The 22,813-nt window shown below is 45.0% G+C and overlaps 1 protein-coding gene across 12 annotated transcripts; it reads left to right on the top strand.

The window, feature by feature from the left end:
- Nucleotides 10,337-22,625, top strand: CYP4A11 (cytochrome P450 family 4 subfamily A member 11). Of its 12 annotated transcripts, none has more exons than NM_001319155.2 (12): nt 10,337-10,574; nt 13,676-13,817; nt 14,467-14,511; nt 15,022-15,149; nt 16,166-16,290; nt 16,755-16,813; nt 17,254-17,360; nt 17,447-17,637; nt 17,734-17,867; nt 18,766-18,830; nt 18,976-19,052; nt 21,503-22,625. In NM_001319155.2, the coding sequence occupies exons 1-12, from the start codon at nt 10,380-10,382 to the stop codon at nt 21,696-21,698; spliced, it is 1,464 nt and encodes a 487-aa protein (NP_001306084.1). In that variant the 5' UTR covers nt 10,337-10,379; the 3' UTR covers nt 21,699-22,625. The 12 variants fall into 12 exon arrangements, 5 of the variants coding, with proteins under 5 accessions (NP_001306084.1, NP_000769.2, NP_001350516.1 ...); NM_000778.4 differs by having other exon boundaries at nt 16,659-16,813; XM_017000465.2 differs by lacking the exon at nt 10,337-10,574 and adding an exon at nt 10,997-11,131 and having other exon boundaries at nt 16,659-16,813.

Genomic DNA, 22,813 nt, shown 5'->3' with positions numbered 1-22,813 from the left:
TTATTTCTACTTTTGCATAATTGCTCTAGCAAGTGCTTCCAATACTATGTTGAATATGAATGGTGAGATACAGCATCCTTGTCTTGTTGTGGTTCTTAAAGGACACACTTTCAGCTTTTCCCCCAATCAGTTTGCTAGCCACAGGTTTTTCATAAATGGCCTTTATTCTGTTTAAAACATTTTCATTGAGGACCTACATGTGCAGGGCTCTCTTCCAGACATCTCAGAGAACAGAGACCGAAATCATTCTGCCCTTTCATTCTATGGGAAGTACAGATAATAGACAGACAATTTAGTAAAATAATCACAGACAGCAATGAGTGCTGAGAATAAAGACAGTGCTATGAGAGACACTAAAGGGAAGGACATGCTTAAACAGGTGATCTTGGAAGGCCTCTTGTTATAGACAAGACTTAAGGTGAAACTTGAAGGATGGTGAGACTCTGGCTGTGTGAAGCACAAGGGAGGAACATTCAATGTGGGAGGGACAGCAAGCACAAAGGCTCTGGGGTGGGAAAGATCATGATGTATTTTAGGAGCTGCCCCATGGTGAGACAGTCACCTGAGAAGAGGTTGAGGAGATCACACAGAGGGTGACATGTGCCCTATATCAGGGTATGATAAGAATGAAGAAGGATAATGGCTAAAAACACTTTGCTCCATGCCCAGCACCTAGGAAGTATTATCCTAAGGATACTCAGATATTAGCAAAACTGAAGTTAGGAATTTGAAATGATGATCCTGACACTCACACTCACATGCTTTGTAATCTGAAAGTCACTTAACATCTCTGGGCCTTGGTTCACCTGTCTGTAAAATAAGGTTAATGTTAATGACACCTAGTAAATTAAGGAGTAGCTGTGATTTTGCTTAGCAAAGGTTAAGCACTCAGCAAATACAGAAGAGACATTTTGAGGCTTAATGGCATGCTGGCACTGTGCAAGGTACTGAGGTAAGAAAACCTCCCTTTCTCAGAATCACCTCTGCCTCTCATTCCAGGAAGGAAGTGATGATACCGAAGGTCCTCAGCTAAAACTAAACATATTTCTGTACAAGAAATGTAAAGTTACATCAGCATCAAACTCACCTTTATCAAAACCCAGAAATCAAGTCCCTGGGCTGATCTACCCACAGGAGTAACTGCTTCAAGAAGCCACCAAGGGGCCGGGCGCGGTGGCTCACGCCTGTAATCCCAGCACTTTGGGAGGCCGAGGCGGGCGGATCACGAGGTCAGGAGATCGAGACCATTCGGCTAAAACGGTGAAACCCCGTCTCTACTAAAAAATACAAAAAATTAGCCGGGCGTAGTGGCGGGCACCTGTAGTCCCAGCTACTTGGGAGGCTGAGGCAGGAGAATGGCGTGAACCCGGGAGGTGGAGCTTGCAGTGAGCCGAGATCCCGCCACTGCACTCCAGCCTGGGCGACAGAGCGAGACTCCGTCTCAAAAAAAAAAAAAAAAGAAGCCACCAAGGGACATCTTGGTGTTCCCTCCTCTGCCTTGGCTTGCCTAAACACTGAATCAGGAAATATTCAGCAACAAAAATGTCAGTTTCATTTTTACAATGTGGCATTCAAAACTGAACTGAGTCTCTTCAGGATGGTGATATAACCAGTTCAAAGTTTTGCTTATTCCAGCTGTCCCTCATTGATTCAATCAGTAGGTATTTCTTGGGCATCATCAACAGACACAGTCATCTGCTTCATGCAATGGGAAGCAAAGGACACAGCAGCTGAGTTACCACCTTTCAGGAGTTTTTGTGGAGGCATCTGAGTAGTAAATAAATGGGATAGGCCAGGCTTAGTGTCTCACACCTGTAATCCCAGCACTTTGGGAGGCCAAGGTGGGTGGATCGCCTGAGGTCAGGAGTTTGAGAACAGCCTGGCCAACATGATGAAACCCTGTCACTACTAAAAGTATAAAAATTAGCCAGGCATGGTGGTGGGTGCCTGTAATCCCAGCTACTCAGGAGCCTGATGCAGGAGAATCACTCTAACCAAGGAGGCTGAGGTTTCAGTGAGCTGAGATCGTGCCACTGCACTCCAGTTGGGGTGACAGAGCAAGGCTCTGTCTCAATAAATAAATAAATAAATACATAAATAAATAAATAAGTGGGATAGATATATACTTGTTAATAAGTCTTGACAATCACAAGCACACTTTTCTAAGAGTTACATTCATACTCTACAGATGGCTCTATATTCTGCTTTTATCACTTTCCCATATGCTTTACTCATATCATTAAACATTCTCCATAAACATCGCTTTCAATGACTATGCTACACCTAGCCCCATGGTTGCCATTCAGTTTCTCACAGGAGCTGCCCTGGATAATGAGACTTGCATTTATGCCAATATGGGGAGTTCATAATCTGACACATCTTCTTGCTATTTGAAAATACTGAATAAAACATAGCAAACATGAAATGCTCCCTGGAAAGTTTACGGGGTGCCATCTGGACTGGAGGCTCAACTTAATCATGACCTCATTTAAATGAATGGTTAACAGGAAAGTCTCTGGAGCCTGACTGCCTGGGTTACAATCCTGGCTGTACCTCTTACCAACTGGGGATTCTGGACAGGGAGCTACCCTGATTGCACCTTAGCTTTCCCACCTATAATATGAAGATTTTTTTAAAAATCTCTTTTGCAGAGTTTTTGCAAAGAAAGCATGTAAAGTTTTGGCTGCATGGCCAGAACATAACAAATGCTCACTAAATGTTGGCCATTACCACATTTTGAGCCCAATTCTAAAGAAATTGAGAATCTAGGGAGGGGAAAAAAAAAAAGCACAACGAGAATTCAAAGCTAAAATCTCTGACTTCAGAGCTACTGTTGCTCATGCTATGGGAGAAAAACAGGTGCTGATCCAAGTAGGGAAAGAGTCAGGGTCCAAGAGTCCCCAGTCGGGGTTAGGGAGGGAGTGATGGATGGTGGAAAGTAGTCACAGAACTAGGGGAGGTTGGGTGGATTGAAGTGTAAATAGTTACATGTCCCTACTCTTTGGTTTGGATAGGAGCCCAGGATTTGAGGCAGAAAGAAAAGAACTCTGATTCTCTGGGTTCTGGAATGAGTCACCTGCCATGAGTGGGGCTAAGGAGGAAGGTGTTGGGCATAAGAGTTTAGATGGATTAGGGAGCAGGAGGAAATCGGGCCCCCGGGAGAGCTGACTTCCAAGGAATTCTTTCTGAAATCTACTTTGATTTATGTTCTGAATTGATGACCTTTGGTATGACCTTGTGGAGATAATTATGAAAAAAGTGAGAGGAGTGGTAATTTGAAGAGGAGCTCATCCCATTTCTGCTCTTTCATGTATGATCTCCATGAATCTGCCAGTGCTTTTTCCTTTTTCTAGTATTTACCAACTGGTAAACTCCTCTTCGTCCTTAAAGACCTCTTTACTTATTTATTTTCTCTGTCTCTGAATGGCCCAAGCCCATGATTTATTGCTTCAGTACACCCTCTATAATGTTTTAACACAATAATTTATTTTTCTTTCTTTAGCTACTAAAAGGTGAGGTTAAAAAAAAACCTTTGTTTTTGAATAAATAAATGAGTGAATAAGTGTATAATTCTATGAGATATTCAGAGAAGTGCCTGTAATCCCAGCACTTTGGGAGGCCAAGGTGGGTGGATCACGAGGTCAGGAGATCAAGATATTGAGAGAAGTGATTGTTATCCCACCCATTTTAGTTTTCTAGGGCTATTGTGAAAAAAAAAAATACCAGAAAGTTGGTGGATGTAGCAGTCCTGCACCTGTTTTCCCACCTTTCTTGACCACAAAGAAAGGGGTCCAGGCTGCTGGATTCTAGTGGTCCTTTACCAGTGTGCCCGACATTGCCATTGTGCTCAGGCATGAGTTCTAGAGCTGGGCTGGGTTCCTGAGTATTTCCTAATAACCCAGATGCCCCATCAAGATGCATTCCTACAAGCAACAGTTCTCTCTTATGCAAATTCATTTCAGAGAGGGTGTGGGTAACCTTTTGAGTCGGATTGAGATAGAGTTTTTTGATTTTGTAAGTACTTTAAGGCTTGGCTGAGTGCAAACAGCTCACATGTTTGAGCAGACCAGTTATTAGGCAATTTTCTTAACTCTGCTTCTACAGGAGTTTCCTTCAATTACTGAATACCCATTGTGTTTTTTTCTCAATCACCTGGGAGGAACCATCTATTGTCCTGTCCTGAAGGGAGTTCCTCCTAGGTCTGGTTGGACCTTCGTATGGTAATTAAGATTTAAATCCCCCGTCAGGAAATCTGCTGGGGGAAGGGAATTTTCAGTGGTTAATGTGAAACTATTTTTTCTAACAGAATAGCCCCATACTTTAAGATTTTTGAGTTAGCAACCTACCCTTTTTGCTTTTTTGACTTAGGATAGTTCTGAACTGGTGAGGTGGTCACAATGAGGTTTCCTCTAAAGGCTAATTTTCTACTTCCTTCTGTTAGGAAAGCAGTTGCCACAAAATATTGAATGCATGTGGGCCATCTGCAGGTTTCTGGGTTAAGGATTTTTGATAGGAAGGCCACTGGTTGTCAGTGGCCTCAGTGCTTTTGGGCTATTCCCTTGTTTACACTGACAACAAAGTGGTATTGGAGTGTTACAGGGTCACAGAGAAAACCTTAAATTATCAATTATAGGTTTTAAATTTACCGTGGCTTTTAAAGAAATAGGGTACACTGTTTTTTCTTTACTACTTCTATCTTTCTCCTTCTCTTTCTCCTTTCTGTCTTTGTAGATGGATTTTGGAAACACAGTGGAAGGATGTTCGCTGGTTGCCCCCATTTGCCACTATAGGAATATGTGCCTCCCTTTTATTTACTCAATTTGCTTTCATCCTGATCTAGTATGTTGTTGTAGACCCAATTCCAGTTGTTAAAGTACTAGGTTATCAGTTCTAAGGCCCTGGCAAGGGTGGTGGGGAACGGGTCCCACATAACTGCCCATGTGGAGAGCTGTATGCCTAAATTGGGAGGGACACCAGGTATAAGACTCCCTGGGTTCATAGCCTAGGGGCCTGAGGATGCAGCATAGAGCTTCCTTAGATCCCTTTGGAGATACAACCTGCTCTAATACTTGGGAGAGGAAGTGAAAGCCTGAAGCATTAGTATCTAGGAGGCAGGGATCAGAGGAAGTCGATTCAGAAGTAAGGAGGATTTTGGGGCTACACTTTCAGGAAAGTCGTAGTCAGGACCCAGGAGGTATGGATCAGTAGGAAAGGTAGGGGCACACGCATCGGCCTGTTGTGGGGTGGGGGGAGGGTGGTGGGATAGCATTAGGAGATATACTTAATGTAAATGATGAGTTAATGGGTGAAGCACTCCAACATGGCACATGTATACATATGTAACACACCTGCGAGTTGTGCACATGTATCCTAGAACTTAACGTATAATATAAAAAAAAAAGAATGAAATCATGTCCTCTTCAGCAACATGGATACAGCTGGAAGCCATTACCCTAAGCCGATTAACACAGTAACAGAAAGCCAAATACTGCATGTTATCACTTATAACTGGGACCTAAACATTGGATACACATAGACACAAAGATGGGAATGGCAGACACTGAGGACTCCAAAAAGGGATGTGATGGAGGGAGGGGGAAAGGATGGAAAAGCTACCTATTAGGTACTGTGTTCACTACCTGGGCTAGGAGCCCAAACTTCAGCATCATGCGATATACTCATGTAACAAACCTGCACATGTACCCTCTGAATCAAAAATTTAACAAATAATATTTTACAAAAAGAGAAAAAAAGAAATAAAGCCATGCACCTACAGCCATCTGATCCTCAACAATGTTGACAAAAATAAGCAATGGGAAAAGGACTCCCTATACAATAAATAGTACTGGGAAAACTGGGTGACCATATGCAAAAGAATGCAACTGGACCCTGACTTTTCACCATATAACAATTAAGTTAAGATGGATTAAAGGGGCCGGGCACGGTGGCTCACGCTTGTAATCCCAGCACTTTGGGAGGCCGAGGTGGGCAGATCACGAGGTTAGAAGGTCGAGACCATCCTGGCTAATATGGTGAAACCCCATCTCTACTAAAAATACAAAAAATTAGCTGGGCGTGGTGGTGGGCACCTGTAGTCCCAGCTACTCAGGAGGGTGAGGCAGGAGAATGGCATGAACCTGGGAGGCTGAGCTTGCAGTGAGCCAACATCAAAAAAAAAAAAAAAAAAAGACAAGATCGATTAAAGGTTTAAATGTAAGACCTGAAACTATAAGAATCCTAGATGAAAACCTAGGAAACATGATGATTTACATCAGCCTTGAGAAAGAATTTATAACTAAGTCCTCAAAAGCAATTGCAAAAAAGTAAAAATTCACAAGTGGGACTTAATTAAACTGCTTCTGTACAGCAAAAGAAACTTGAGCAAAGTAAACAGACAACCTACAGAATGGAAGAAAATATTCATAAACTATGCATCTGACAAAGGTCTAATATCCAGAATCCCTAAAGAAATTAAACAATTCATTTTTTTATTATACTTCAAGTTCGGAGATACATGTGCAGAAAGTGCAGGTTTGTTACATTGGTATACATGTGCCATGGTGGTTTGCTGCACCCATCAACCCGTCATCTACATTAGGTATTTCTCCTAATGCTATCCCTCCCCTAACCCCCCATGCCAGATAGGTCCCTGTGTGTGATGTTCCCCTCCCTGTGTCCATGTGTTCTCATTGTTCCACTCCCACTTATGAGTGAGAACAAGTGGTGTTTGGTTTTCTGTTCTTGTGTTAGTTTGCTGAGAATGATGGTTTCCAGCTTCATCCATGTCCCTGCAAAGGACATGACCTCATCCTCTTTTATGGCTGTATAGTGTTCCATGGTGTATACGTGCCACAGTTTCTTTATCTAATCTATCATTGATGGGCATTTGGGTTGGCTCCAAGTCTTCTATTGTGAACAGTGCTGCAATGAACATACATGTGCATGTGTCTTTATAGTAGAATGATTTATAATCCTTTGGGTATATACCCAGTAATGGGATTGCTGGGTCAAATGGTATTTCTGGTTCTAGACCTTCGAGGAATTGCCACACTGCCTTCCACAATGGTTGAATTAATTTGCACTCCCACCAACAGTGTAAAAGCATTCCTATTTCTCCACATCCTCTCCAGCATCTGTGGTTTCCTGACTTTTTAATGATTGCCATTCTAACTGGCATGAGATGGTATCTCATTGCGGTTTTGGTTTGCATTTCTCTAATGACCAGTGATGATGAGCTTTTTTTGCTGTTTTTTTGGCTGCATAAATGTCTTCTTTTGAGAAGTGTCTGTGCATATCCTTTGCCCACTTTTTGATGGGGTTGTTTTTTTCTTGTGAATTTGTTTAGGTTCTTTGTAGATTCTCGATATTAGCCCTTTGTCAGATGGATAGATCGCAAAAATTTTCTCCCATTCTGTAGGTTGCCTTTTCACTCTGATGATAGTTTCTTTTGCTCTGCAGAAACTCTTTAGCTTAATCAGATTCCATTTGTCAACTTTGGCTTTTGTTGCCATTGCTTTTGACGTTTTGGACATGAAGTCCTTGCCCCTGCCTATGTCCTGAATGGTATTGCCTAGGTTTTCTTCCAGGCTTTTTATGGTTTTACATCTTAAGTTTAAGTTTTTAATCCATCTTGAAATAATTTTTGTGTAAGGTTTAAGGAAGGGTCCAGTTTCAGTTTTCTGCATATGGCTAGCCAGTTTTCCCAACACCATATATTAAATAGGGAACCCTTTCCCCATTGCTTGTTTTTGTCAGGTTTATCAAAGATCAGATAATTGTAGATAAGTGGTGTTATTTCTGAGGCCTCTGTTCTGTTCCATTGGTCTGTATATCTGTTTTGGTACCAGCACCATGCTGTTTTGGGTACTGTAGCCTTGTAGTGTAGTTTGAAGTCAGGTAGCATGATGCCTCCAGCTTTGTTCTTTCTGCTTAGGATTGCCTTGGCAATGGGGGCTCTTTTTTTATTCCATATGAAATTTAAAGTAGTTTTTTCTAATTCTGTGAAGAAAGTCAATGGTAGCTTGATGGGAATAGCATTGAATCTATAAATTACTTTGGGCAGTACGGCCATTTTTACTATATTGTTTCTTCCTATCCATGAGCATGGAATTTTTTTCCATTTCTTTGTGTCCTCTTTCATTTTGTTGAGCAGTGGCTTGTAGTTCTCCTTGTAGAGGTCCTTCACATCCCTTGTAAGCAGTATTCCTAGGTATTTTATTTTCTTTGTAGCAATTGTGAATGGGAGTTCACTCATGATTTGGCTTTCTGTTTCTCTATTATTGGTGTGTAGGAATGCTTGTGATTTTTGCACATTGATTTTGTATCCTGAGACTTTGCTGAAGTTGCTTATCAGCTTAGGGAGATTTTGGACTGAGATGATGGGGTTTTCTAAATATACAGTCATGTCATCTGCAAACAGAGACAATTTGACTTCCTCTCTTCCTATTTGAATACCCTTTACTTCTTTCTCTTACCTGGCCAGAACTTCCAATACAAGCGAAAAACAAACAACCCCATTAAAGACACAGACACTTCTCTAAAGAAGACATATGAGCAGCCAAAAAATATTTTTAAAAATGCTCAACATCACTAATGAGAAATGTGAATCAAAACCACATCTCACACAAGTCAGAATGGCTATTATTAAAAAGTTTCAAAGCAACATATGCTGGCTAAGCTGCAGAAAAAAAACATAATGTGTATACATTGTTTGTGGAAATGTAAATTAGTTCCGCCACTGTGGAAAGCAGTTTGGAGATTTCTCAAAGAACTTAAAATAGAACTACTATTTGACCCAGCAATCCCAATATTAGCTATATATCAAAAAGAAAATAAGTTGCTCTACCAAAAAGACACCTCTACTCATACATTCATCACAGCACTATTCGCAATAGCAAAGACATGGCATCAACCTTGGTGCCCATCAATGGTGGACTGGATAAAGAAAATGTGATACATATACACAGTGGAATACTAGACAGCTATAAAAAAATAAAGAAATCATGTTCTTTGCAGCAACATGGATGAATTGGGAGGCAATAATCCTAAGCAAATTAACACAGCAACAGAAAACCAAATACCGCATGTTCTCACTTATAAGTGGGAACTACATTTTGGATACTTATGGACATAAATATGGGAACAATAGACACTGGGGACTACTAAAGGGGTAGGTACAGATATGAGTAAGCATTGGAAATTTGACTAATATATACCATACTCACTACCTGAGTGGCAGAATCATTTGTATCCAAACCCTCAGCATCACACAATACACCAGTGTAAAAAACCTGCATACGTACCTGAATCTAAAATAAAAGTTGAAATTATAAAAAGAGGAAAAAAAGAATGCTCATGCACAGATATGCATGTAAAAATGCCAGGGAGGGTTAATTCATAGCAACAGTTGCTATTTAACCTACTTTACTTGAGGTTGGCAAAGCAATCATTTTTTAAATATTAATTTCTGTTTAGTACAGATTGTCCTTGGTCAGGACTCCTAAACAGAGTGCAAAGTTCTGATTGTGTAATTACATACTATTGTAGGGTGAAAGAGAATTGGTAAACAGGCTCCTGCTGTGACTATAGTACTAGACTGAAGTAGGACTAAAATTGCTCTAGGACTTACTCTGGTAGAAAAGGTAGACCTATCAATAGGGGAAAAAGTCATACCTAACATGATGTAGAATTTTTTTAAATTGTCATGTATATGAATTGAGAAAAAAAATCATGCTATGCATATTATGAGACCAGTTTCCCCAATGGAATAAAATAAAGTACTTGAACAGCTGCTATATTAGCATCTGTTTGTCCATATCATCATCCAGTTACTAGAAAGACATAATTCCCACTCTTCACTCAATATATAGATGGAAGTGGTTTTTATGGTAAATAAAATTAGATTTGCAATAAGACAAAAGTAATGATTCAGGGCTTGGTTAATGTTAAGTTTAAATGTACATATCATGTTGAGAATTTTCTTTGAACACATAACAAAAAAAAAGTGCTACTGAATGAACATTATTGCAATGTAGTAAAGCAGAATGCAAATTCCTTGAGGTCAGCATTCAAGTCTGTTTTCCTCGCAGCGGTGCCCACACACCTAGCATACTGCCTGGCACACAGTAAATGCTCATTAAATATTTGTGAGGTACATGGACAGGGGAATGTGGTAGACAGCTGATGAAGCTTTTCTCCCACTGTTGCCCTAGGTGGATCATCCATAGTCAATTGATTCTGAACTCTGAGGTCCAAGTTCTGCCCTCCTCCTTCACTCTCCCCACAAGTGGGCGGGACAATCCTCCCTGGATTTGAGCACAGGGGGACGGGGGTGGTCAGAGAGAGGTAGGGGCACTCAGAGATCCAGCAGGTGCTGCACCATGAGTGTCTCTGTGCTGAGCCCCAGCAGACTCCTGGGTGATGTCTCTGGAATCCTCCAAGCGGCCTCCCTGCTCATTCTGCTTCTGCTGCTGATCAAGGCAGTTCAGCTCTACCTGCACAGGCAGTGGCTGCTCAAAGCCCTCCAGCAGTTCCCGTGCCCTCCCTCCCACTGGCTCTTCGGGCACATCCAGGAGGTAGGGAGGAACTCAATGGGGGAGTGGGAGGGCAAAGAGGGATGGGGCTCTGAGACCCTGGTCACAAAATCCATAGAGCAAAGCCTTGTTTTGTAACAAATGTGAGGACTCAAAGGAACACCCAGCCTACCTCTCTGGTCTCAGCTTTTCCCAGTCATGAGGAGCTCACTTCTCCCATGAAGCCCATCCTGCTGGTCCTCAGCTCTATCACCCGTGCCCTCCTTCTGCAGATATCAAGTGTGTCTTGGCAGTCCTGCATGTGGAGGGCAATGCCTGATTGTCTCCAGACTGATTACCCCATAAGCCTTGGCTTTCATCAAAGAACAAGGCTTCTAGATGCTCTCTGCCCAGTCACTCAATGCCATCACTCTGCCTGGCCCTGTGTTTGCCAGGGAGCACAGACACCCATCTGAGGAATCCATGCCATGAGGAGTTTATGGTCTGTGAAGAATACAGGCAGGAATTTGAGAAGGTGTCAGACTGCAGGAAAGGAGCTCACTCTGCTGGGGTGGATATCTGAGGCAGAGATCTGCTGGTATAGGGGACCAACTGGCTAAGTAAGTTTCCCCAAGACTCACGGAATTTCCACAACAGGTGATTTAGGATCTGAAAACCTGACAATTATGGGTACACATGAGGGGGGCAGCCTGCACAATGTTCTCCAGGTGAGGAGACTGGTGTTTGAGTTGCACATTGAACAGGGTGTGTTGACCTCCTGGCTCTCCTCCCACACACCCGGACTGTGAGCTCCCTGGCGGTGAGCATGTCATCCCCTTCCTGTGCCCCGGCAATCAGCAAAATCCTGGCACAGCTTGATGATCAGCTCAGGTGTGTAGAGCAAGCTTGTCCAACCCACGCCCCATGGGGCTGCATGTAGCTCAGGATGGCTTTGAATGTGGCCCAACACAAATTCGTAAACTTTCTTAAAACGTTATGAGATTATTTTGCAATTTTTTTGAGTTCATCAGCTATCATTAGTGTTAGTGTATTTTATGCATGGCTCAAGACAATTATTTTTCTTCCAATGTGGCCTAGGAAAGCCAAAAGATTGGACACACCAGGTGTAGAGGAACAGAGGAAGAAGAGAAAGGAGCAGCAAGAGGGCTGAGGAGGGACACAGCCCATCCCCTGTGCACTGCTATCCCTACAAGGGGAGGGGGGCGGGTAGGAACAGAGCAGGTAAACGGCTGCATGGAGAGGGACTCACCAAGGTGCTATGAATTGAACACACTTAAGTAGAGATAGGGGTTGCAGGGAACTGAGGCCTATTGTTTCTCAGCAAAGGAGGCAACATAGTTCTCAGCAGAGCAGAACAAATGTGGGGACCTGCCAAAGTTCTAACCCTATATGGACTGGTCCCAATACCACTCTGCCTTCTTTCCCATTCTCCTCTTTTACCATATGTTACTCACTACCTCACTACCTGCCTCTGCATTTCAACCTTTAGGTCTCTGATCACACTATGCTTGCTACCTGGAATTATCTTCTCACGCATATCTATCTGTCAAGGCCCAGCACCAAGCTACCTCCTTCAAGAAGGCCTCCTGGGTCTCCCAGTAGTGAAGGGCTGACTCTTTTTTCCATGAGCTATCCTTCTCAAGAGGCCAGAGCAGTGTTAACTTGACTCAGTTATTGTTCTGCAGTGTCATAAGTGTGGGATTCTTCTGGGAGAGACCATCTCTGATTTATGTTTGTAACCCAATAGTCCCTCAGTAAATGATGACTCAGTGAGTGAGGAAGAGCTTTCTAATGTTCAGTTCTGAGTTAGGTCCCTCTTCAAAGCTTCCCCAGATGCTTGTCCTTCATTCCATATCATGTCCATTATCCCCTACTGCACAGCCTCTAATCTTTCTTACCCCCCAACTAGACTGAAAATTCCACACAGATAAGGACCACAGCTGTATCCTAACGCAGTGCCTGAGCCACACTGGGCACATAGTATGTGTGCAGTAAGCATGGGCTGAATGAAGGAGCCTACCCCACAGTAGGGCAAGCTGCCTCAGAGCTGGACAATATGATTATCAGAAGGAGATGGGCAGATATTCGATACCTATGTGGTAGACAGTTGCTTTGATTTACTAGAAGCAGTTGAAATAAAGAAGAGTTGGCTACATGGAACATCACTAGGACCCAATGTCTTTGAGGGTTCCAGATGAGATTAAAGCAAAGCTGAGTCTTGAAAGCTGAGGAGAGGTGGCTGCTCTGTGGCAGAGGGGAAGGGCATTCAAGGTAGAGAAAAGAGCAAGTGCCAGGGCCCAGAAGAGTGAGCAGGTGTAGCTGGTGTGCGATTCAGCAGCAGTGGTGGCATCGGCATTGGAGCTGAAACAAACGGGTGATGGTGGAATTGCCAGCAGGGCTGGAGGCAAGAAAAGAGAAGTTGAAGCCAGAAAGCCAAGGGCTTTGTGATCCACATCGAAGAGTTTAGAAAGATGACTGCAGGCAGCAGGGAGCTCATAATTCGTTGATAAGTGAAAATGAGAATAAGAAACCCAAATCTCAAAATTATTGTCCAACACCAGCACCATATGCATATACTCAGACTCCATCCCATAAATCTGTACATATTCAACATGTAGAATACTATTATGCACACAATTTTATAGTTAATCTTTTTTTGCTTACCAATACACATCCCAAATGCTATTTTATCTTAACAAATATTTACCGTATATGCTGGGATAATATTGAAAATATAACAAGTATGATTATATAAAGGCATTGTGTAATTTAAAATGTTTACATTAATTCATTTTATTCTCTAGATATACTAAATGATTTTACAAATCTACTTATCAACTAATATGAGTTATACACATTGCCCATGGAAATTGTTGTATTTATGACTTCCAGAGATGTTACACAACATGAAGACAATGGCTGACTTAAATTTCTGCTGGCAGCATTGAGCGAGGGCTCATAGCGCTTGGCCTAAGGTCAAGTCCTGGGGAGAGAGCAAGAATCTGGATCACAGCTCAGGTCATCAGAAACAGATCTAAATCCCTAACCTGCGCTACATGGCTCCTGTAGTTGTCCTGCCCTTCACTCCTGCTGCAAAGACTAGAAGTAAATGAAAGTGTTCATCTGTCTACCCTTGTTGACAGCTCCAACAGGACCAGGAGCTACAACGGATTCAGAAATGGGTGGAGACATTCCCAAGTGCCTGTCCTCATTGGCTATGGGGAGGCAAAGTTCGTGTCCAGCTCTATGACCCTGACTATATGAAGGTGATTCTGGGGAGATCAGGTGAGATCGAACCCCCATCCCAACTGCAATGTGTCTTCCCTCTTGACACATGCTCCTGGGTCTGTAAAATTCCAGAAGAGAGTGGCTGTTCAAACATCAATATCTGAAACCTCTCCCACGCATCCACCAAGCCCACCATGCCCAGGCTATAGTCAAAAATAGTTACTGAACTCCGAATGTTTAAAACAATATGTGGGGCTGAATTTTCTATTCTTTTTTCTATTTCTCTATTAAGAAAATTGAGGTTTTCTGAAATGTAAATTGTCCCAGATCTGTAAAACAAATTTCATACCCACATTGACCTGGGTTTCAAAGCTCTAATTGTTGCCTGTCTTGGTCAGGAGGTGACTAGGAAATCATCAATGTAGAAAAACCCATGGCTCTATGTTATTCATTGTCATTGAAGACCTAGCCTATGTTTCTCACCAATTCACCTTCCTAACCCTCTGGATGTTTTCCTGCTGGAACACTGAGTCTGTCTTCCTGAGCCCACACTGACCTTCAGGACAGAAATAGAAGTGGATGGGAGTCAAGTGGGAGGTGACATGGGTCAAACTGCCAACTGACAGACACCAAGAATTGATGCAGCCTCTAAGACTGCCTTCTTAGTAACTCCTAGTTTCCTATAAAGCCCTTTCTTGCCTTTCAGACCCGAAATCCCATGGTTCCTACAGATTCCTGGCTCCATGGATTGGTATGTGTGCAAACTAGGACTGCAGCCCACTCCCTAGTCAGGTTTGAGTTATTTATTTGGCTCACAGAGAACAACAGATTAGAGGCCACCACTATCATGACCTTATCCCCAAATCAAGCCTCACTTCCTTCTTCTAACAAGACCCTCACCCCTTCCTAATGCTGGTACAAACCTTCCTGAGGCTCAGCTTCTTCTATTTCATGTCTCAGTTCTCTCCAGACATCCTTGGCCTCACATTTATTTTACATCTGCCCACAACCCTTTTCAACTTTTATCTCACAGCTGTCATAATCACATGCATGTAGCAGCTCAATCAGAATATTCACATGCCTGAAATATACCTCCTTTTCCTGCATTTGCCCATGACGTGGCTTCTTCTGGATAGTTCTCCCCTTGAGAAGCCACCTTTCTCCCTCCCAAATTGTCACCAGTCATCCCTAGCTCCTTGCAGCCCCTGACACACACACACACACACACACACACACAAACACACATTCATGTCTCTCTTAGGGTACGGCTTGCTCCTGTTGAATGGGCAGACATGGTTCCAGCATCGACGGATGCTGACCCCAGCCTTCCACTATGACATCCTGAAGCCCTATGTGGGGCTCATGGCAGACTCTGTACGAGTGATGCTGGTGAGTCCATGTCTCTCTCCTCTCCCCACACCCACTCACAGCACACACTCTCACCAACTCCACTCTCAACCCTGTGTCCCACAGGCAGACATAGACATAGACACATGGAACAACACTCTCAGGTCATTGCTGTGAGAGTAGAGGGTTCCCCAGAGTTGTATAAGGTAGGAGAACACCCAGGCATCAGGTCATATCCACGCTTTGTTCCCCACCATAGGAATAGAGATTCATGGTGAATGCAAGGCCCTTCTCCTCCCACTTTGGAACCTTCAGCACAAGGGACTGGAGGAGTATGCAATCTTGCTGGACAGTAGGACTTCCTATGCTGGCTGGCCTGGGCAATGGCAGCTTCAGTGGCAGCATGGACAGGCCAAGATGTCACCCACCCAGGCTCTGGCCTGGGGCCCCGGGTTTCTGCATGGATTTAAGCCACCCTGGGAAGGAAATGAACACCAGGTCTATGTTCTCAGAGCAATACCTTCCATAGATAGCATCATCTCCAGTCAGGACTCTGATTTCTCACCCAACTGTGCCCAGCACATTTTGATGAATGGAAAAGAATTGAAGTCCCTGTTTTCTCTACAACAGAGTGCCCATTCCGGCCCCTCAAGCTATCTTTGGCACTGAAACTTTCCTACTAGTCCCTCAGAACTAGCTCAGCTCTCAGAACACTGAAGAGTCCCCCATTATTTATCCCAGAACAACAATAGCAATACAATTTTCACAACCATATGTCCTAACTGAATCTCAAAATTCAATACTTAATCCATGCTATTGTGAGAGGATCTGTTGAATGTTGTATTAAAAGTGTGTGAGAATTAGGCGTCAGTTTACCAACACTGGCTTTACAGTCTCAGTTTCTACAATGCATCTGCTCTGTAAAGTGAGGAATCCCAACCAAGATATCTGCATGCTACAGGAAAAAACAGGATATCTGCAGGTACATGAAAAAGCCAGGCCTTATTAGCAAAGCACTTCTTGGAGATTAAGAAGGTCCATGCCCCCTCCCACCACAGGACAAATGGGAAGAGCTCCTTGGCCAGGATTCCCCTCTGGAGGTCTTTCAGCACGTCTCCTTGATGACCCTGGACACCATCATGAAGTGTGCCTTCAGCCATCAGGGCAGCATCCAGGTGGACAGGTCAGTGACAACCCTCCAGCTGCAGGGCCCTTGTTCTTATCAAGTGGAGTGCACATACCTGAGGGGCAGGTGGGGCAGCGTGAAGGCTCACCGCCACACAAAGGAAGAGTCAGTCCCTGACCAAACTCTAATTCCAGTCCAGACCAAACAAAGTCTCAGGAACAGATGCCTAATTCCTAGCACAGGTGGACCCTGGATGTTCATACCATCTGATAAAGGCCAAAGGATAATAGGGCTGTAAGATAGAAGAAACATTGCCTCAAGGCTGCTTGTCCCCATTATCCGAGGCTGCCTCCTCTCAGACCCCATTCTACTTCCGGGTAATGGGCCCACCCCTACTGCAGTCCCTTCTTCATACTCTCCCTCAGGAATTCTCAGTCCTACATACAGGCCATTAGTGACCTGAACAACCTGGTTTTTTCCCGTGTGAGGAATGCCTTTCACCAGAATGACACCATCTACAGCCTGACCTCTGCTGGCCGCTGGACACACCGCGCCTGCCAGCTGGCCCATCAGCACACAGGTTCTGTCTTTTCCTCTTGTCTCCCAGCCTTTCCCAGGCACAGCGAAAGAACTTGCCCTGACTCCTCAGCCAGAGAAGGCCCCTAGTAACCCTGCAGAACGCAGAACACACTCAGCCTGGGGAATTCCCTTGCTCAGGGGCTGGGAGCTGAGATGTGAGGGGCCAGATTCTGTGCCTTGGTTTATCAATGTCCCCACATGGAGATAACTGAATGAGACCCTGTCCAAACAGCATTCAAGAGGAGCCTCCATGAACTGTGCCACTGGCGGGAGGGGTGCCCTGCCTCACACAGTACTAGAGCTTCCACCCCTGACCCTGCACCCACACTCACATTCATGCTGAGATCTACCAGGCACCCACACTGGGGCAGTTGGGCAGCTAGGCCTCCTGGGGGCTGCTGACGGTCTCAGCTCTGCCTGGTAACCATTGTTCTGGTACAGACCAAGTGATCCAACTGAGGAAGGCTCAACTACAGAAGGAGGGGGAGCTGGAGAAGATCAAGAGGAAGAGGCATTTGGATTTTCTGGATATCCTCCTCTTGGCCAAAGTGAGTATGTGTAGGAGAGGCCTGAGTCTTTGCCCAGAAGTACATAGCAAGAGACAAGCCCTGCATTTTCACCACGGTCTTCCCAGATGGAGAATGGGAGCATCTTGTCAGACAAGGACCTCCGTGCTGAGGTGGACACGTTCATGTTTGAGGGCCACGACACCACAGCCAGTGGGATCTCCTGGATCCTCTATGCTCTGGCCACACACCCCAAGCATCAGGAGAGGTGCCGGGAGGAGATCCACAGCCTCCTGGGTGATGGAGCCTCCATCACCTGGTGAGTGAGGGCTCAAAAGATGGGGTTCCCTGCCTTCTCCACAGGGGCCCCTGGTCTGCCCAGGCCTTGCTGGTGTTCAGGATGGAATTGTTTCAGGAACCACCTGGACCAGATGCCCTACACCACCATGTGCATTAAGGAGGCACTGAGGCTCTACCCACCGGTGCCAGGCATTGGCAGAGAGCTCAGCACTCCCGTCACCTTCCCTGATGGGCGCTCCTTGCCCAAAGGTATGAAGTTCCCCCACCCTCTCACCTAAACTCTCCACAGGGACGTGTGGAGGGTGAGAAATCCATGTGTGCATCAGAATTCTGCACATCTCTGGGTCTCCCTTTTGTTCTAAAAAAATCAAAAACATACTTTGTACTTGGGATAAAGAATTTGAAAAGTCTGGCTGAGAGCTTGAACCCACCAAAAGTTCAAGAAATAAATGTTAATCTCTGAATGTGGCCTTGGGTCAGTAACTGTAAAATTCTATTCCCTGAGATGTGCAGGGCTGGAAAGAGAATCAGACAAGGGCAGAGAGGGATGTGTTTCTTTCCTCATGGGGTCAGTGCAAAAGAGGCTTATCAGGAATTTCATTTCCTGGGTCAGCTGTTGTCCAGTCTCTGAGGAACCCTCAGGTTGATGGCAGAGAGAAAGTGATGACCAGATCTGGGGACACCAAGGTGCAACTCCCTGGGTTCTGGTCCCAGTCCTGCCATAACCTAGTTGTGTGAACATAGACAAGACAATTGGTCTCTCTGAGATTCAGGTATCTCCCCTGAAAACTGAGAGCAAAAGAATGTCTTACTTGGAGCGTTGTTGTACTGAGTGAGTTCATGTATATTCTCCAATGACCCTTGGAGGATATTTGATGAATGTGAAATGTCACTGGACTTACTCTAAAGAGTAATGCTCTGATTCTTTCTTGCTTCTCATTCCTGCATAAATGGTTGTCTATTCATCATCTGAACTCACATGCTTTGTTAAGCCTAACCCACCTGCATAATGGCAGAATCATCCCAGTCAAAGTGAAAATTTGTGGAAAGTAGGCTTTTTGGGCCTTCTTTTGTGCCTGCTGGCTGAAGTACCAGGCCACCCCATGCAAATGATTGGTCTTCTCTCTGTTTCCAACCTGCACCACAGGTATCATGGTCCTCCTCTCCATTTATGGCCTTCACCACAACCCAAAAGTGTGGCCCAACCCAGAGGTATGTGGTCCTTGAGAGGAGGAAATGAGGTGATCCCTCAAGACCAATACCTTCTCCTGCTTCCACCTCTGGGAGTCCTGTCCCCCATGGGTGGCAAGTAGGTGCTGGATCCTTAACTATCCTGGCTCTGGTGCTCTCTCTGCAGGTGTTTGACCCTTTCCGTTTTGCACCGGGTTCTGCTCAACACAGCCACGCTTTCCTGCCCTTCTCAGGAGGATCAAGGTGAGACGTCCTGTGTGGTAATTCGAATAGAGGAATGAGGGAAGTCTCTGGTCAACCCTCTGATCTTTGTGAGCCTGATGTTCATATGTGGCATCTTCAGGTGTGCTCTTAAATGTTGGTATTTGTGGGAAAGTCAGGCACCTGGTGTGGGCGTCTCTGTGTACAAAAGGAAGGTGGCATTCAGAGCACCCCATGGAGACTTTGCTCCCTCTGCTTCTTCAAATGGGCAGCCTGAATTCACTGTCAGTGCATGTTCCAAACTTCAGTATATTCATGTATTTTCCTCACTTTAAGGATATGAATTCTCAAAATTAGATATTCTCCAGTAAATTCAACTTCAGCTGTTTGCTTTTCTCAGTTGTCAGGAATAGTAAACTGTAGATTTCTCTCCCCCCACACATCCTCAATGCAGCACACTACCTTCCCTATTTAATTCACTAGTCTGTCGTAGAGATGAATCATTGAAGTCTTTGCATCTGTTTATAATACAGATGACCTGCAAGTCCTACCTTTCAAGTCATATAAGGGAGAGGTTAAGGTAGCCCTTTGAAGAAAGTTTTACAACAGTGTGTGTCATATCATACATTCTTCTGTCTTGCCCAATGAAATTTTTACTGCATTATATAGTGTTCACATATTTACATCTATTTTCCCGTTTGACAAATTCTGTACATGCCTTGAGATCTTTATACCATAGTCCTGTAATCCACTTAGCACAATATTGGCCAAAAACATAAAAATGTGAACAGTACACTGTCTTGGAGAGAAAAGCCCAATAATTATCATATAACGCACAACATTTGAAGCCTCCTGGTATGTGAAATATAAAACACACTTGAAATTGCTTTTGAGCTGGAGAGGAAAACTCCAGAATGGTTGCGGTGGAGATCATTGTGGCATCAGGAATCGTCCTGTGACATACACACAGGCAAAAACGATATAAATTCTTAGTAGAAACAAAGTTTGTTCAAAGAAATAATTATGTGACTTTTTGAAACGGTGAGTCCACTTACACAGAACAGGCTTTAAGAAAAAGCTTCCTCCTGAAACTCCTTCTCCAGCACTGGTCTGTCTATCCCAGCATGAGAAAGTCCTCCTAAACATTGCCTGCAAATCATGTCGCTGCCACTAGAGAACTGGAGAGCATTCCTAAGGTCCATTTCTAGCTCAGAATTAATATTTACTCTCAGTGTATTTCATTATATTTTATTCATTTTAAAACTTAACATCATTCAAATATAGAAGTATTTCTTAAGCTACCTCTCTGGGTCAAGTCCTATGCAGCATGATGAGAAAACAGAGATAAAAAGTACAAAAATGTGTTGTACAGAAATATATCCTGTGCTCCAGACACACATCGTTCCATCAACCATCCTTTCACTCATTCACTCACTGAGTGGCGTGTTGAGTGTCCCTGTCCCTGGTGCTGTCCTTGGCACTGGACTGTGAGTGTTCATGGATAAATCGTGAATGCTACCTGGGGGCCTGGGAGGGAGAGGCCCAGCTGGCAGGGAGTGAGAGGCAGCTGGGATCTGACTTTAGCCTTGAGGATGTGGCAGGCAGAGGTGGAGGGAGGACATTCTGAGCCATCTCCACATGAACAGGGCCAGGACGTGGGCTGGACAGGTAAAATGTGGGTGAGGCAAGAGCCCATGGAGGGCTTATCTGCCAGCTGAGGCATTGGGATGCTGTCCCACCTGTGATGAAGAGCGTGGGAGGGTCTGAGCTGGGCTGTGGCTTCAGTGTGCTGGGAGGGGAAGCAGAAAACCATAAAGTCCAGGCAAGAATACTGAGGAAGGGCAAGGAAGGATGTTTCTGGAGTAGAATTAGAAGGCTACAGGGGCTGGTGGATGGAGGAGTGAGGTTAGACAGGAGCCCGGACCCTGGGGTGGGAGGCAGGTGGGGCAACACTGAGGATCACCCACCCAGTTCTCCTCCAGGAAGCCTCCCACTGCCCTTCTGACTCCCTTAATACACCCATCGGGGCCCCTATGAGGATTCAGGTCCCTGTGTGTCCCACTACATGGGAAGCACCTGAGAGTGTGGCCCACCCTCACCCTACAGGACCTGAACTGACCTCCACACTGGAGAACAAGAAATGTTTGTGGAGGAGTGAACAAACCATTGATTAACTCTTTATCTATTCATGTGATTAGACTCTGTGCCTTAGAGCCCTGGCCTTGTCTTGATAGAGGGTTTCAGGCTGCTGAGAGCAGAGGTAGAGGGTAGGAGTTAGGAGCTAGCCCAGGAAGACGGCTCTGTCCAAGGATTGGGATAGTGTGAAGCCAGGACGGGGTAGAAGTGTCCATGGGCTGTATGTGTGCAGGGGCTGGACACATGAGGTTGGGCACTGAATGTCCAGCTCAGGGCTGGGGTCAGGGGCCAAAACCTGCTCAGATCAGAATGGGGCCTGAGGACACTTCTCAATTCATTATCTCCACCTGGCCCAGGAACTGCATCGGGAAACAATTTGCCATGAACGAGCTGAAGGTGGCCACGGCCCTGACCCTGCTCCGCTTTGAGCTGCTGCCTGATCCCACCAGGATCCCCATCCCCATTGCACGACTTGTGTTGAAATCCAAAAATGGAATCCACCTGCGTCTCAGGAGGCTCCCTAACCCTTGTGAAGACAAGGACCAGCTTTGAGGGCCTCCACCTGCCGTCCTGTCTTCCTGACCCCCGCTTCTGTCCCCTTCCTGTCTGCCCATATCCTGTTTTCTGTCTGCCCACCTTCCCTTCTTCCCACCTGCCTGCTGTCCCCCAGTCTGCCTGCCCTTCTCTCTCTCACCTTTCTCCAGGCTCCCTACCTGCTTGTCTACCTGTCTCCTACCCACCTGTATCTCTTGTTGGGAGAAAAGCTGAGTGTTGGGAGAAGCTGAGGCCGAGCTTGCATGTCTGACATAATGTAAAAGAGTCTTGGATCATGTCCAGGATCCAGGGTCTAAAACCCCTTGTGGCCTTTGGAACACCAAGCTCTGTGCTGAAGGGTGGAAGGCTACCCTGACGCACCATAATCTAAGCCCGGGGCATAAAACCCCTCGTGGCTTGGATAGAATCCAGGGCTCGTGGCTCTGGAATGTGTCTGAACTTGCTGCCTCCTCGCTCCTTGCTCTCCCAGGATCAATTGTATCTTGAGTTAAAAGAACCTGCTCTCCATTATCTCAAGTAGCAGAGCAGATGCTAAACCGTCACAGCTGTAAATCATGTGCTTAATGCAACATGCCCTTTCGACCCCCACATTCTCACCACCTGTTTCTTTGTTTGATCACCAATAAATAATCTGCACTTCCAGAGCTCGGGGCCTTCACAGCCTCCATCCTTAGCTTTGGCGCCCTGGACCCACTTTCTCTCTCAAACTGTCTTTTCTCACTGCTTTGACTCTGCCGGACTTTGTCACCCCCACGACCTGGTGTTGGGTCTGAACACCCCAACATCCCTGAATCTCCACCCACCTCCCAAACTCCTGCCTGCCCTCCAGACTGTCTGCCCATACACCTGTCTCCTTCTTCCTGCCTGCTTGTCTGTTCCTATATTAGTTTCCTATTACTGCTGTAATAAACTATCACAATCTCAGTGATTTTAAATAACGACTTTTATTCTCTTACAGTTATGGAGGTCAAAGTCAGATATATGGGTTTCACTGAATTAAAACAAGTTCTGGAGAGGGCCAGACCCCCACCCCCAGAAGGTTTCAGGGAGAGCCCTGCCCCTTGGCTTTTCAGCTCCAGAGCTGCCTTTTTTGCATTCCTTGGTACGGTCCC

The sequence above is a fragment of the Homo sapiens genome, chromosome 1, assembly GCF_000001405.40.
Source record: "Homo sapiens chromosome 1, GRCh38.p14 Primary Assembly".
Lineage (NCBI taxonomy): Eukaryota > Metazoa > Chordata > Mammalia > Primates > Hominidae > Homo > Homo sapiens.
Note: the sequence above shows the minus strand (reverse complement) of the source record. Positions and strands in the feature narration are given on the sequence as shown.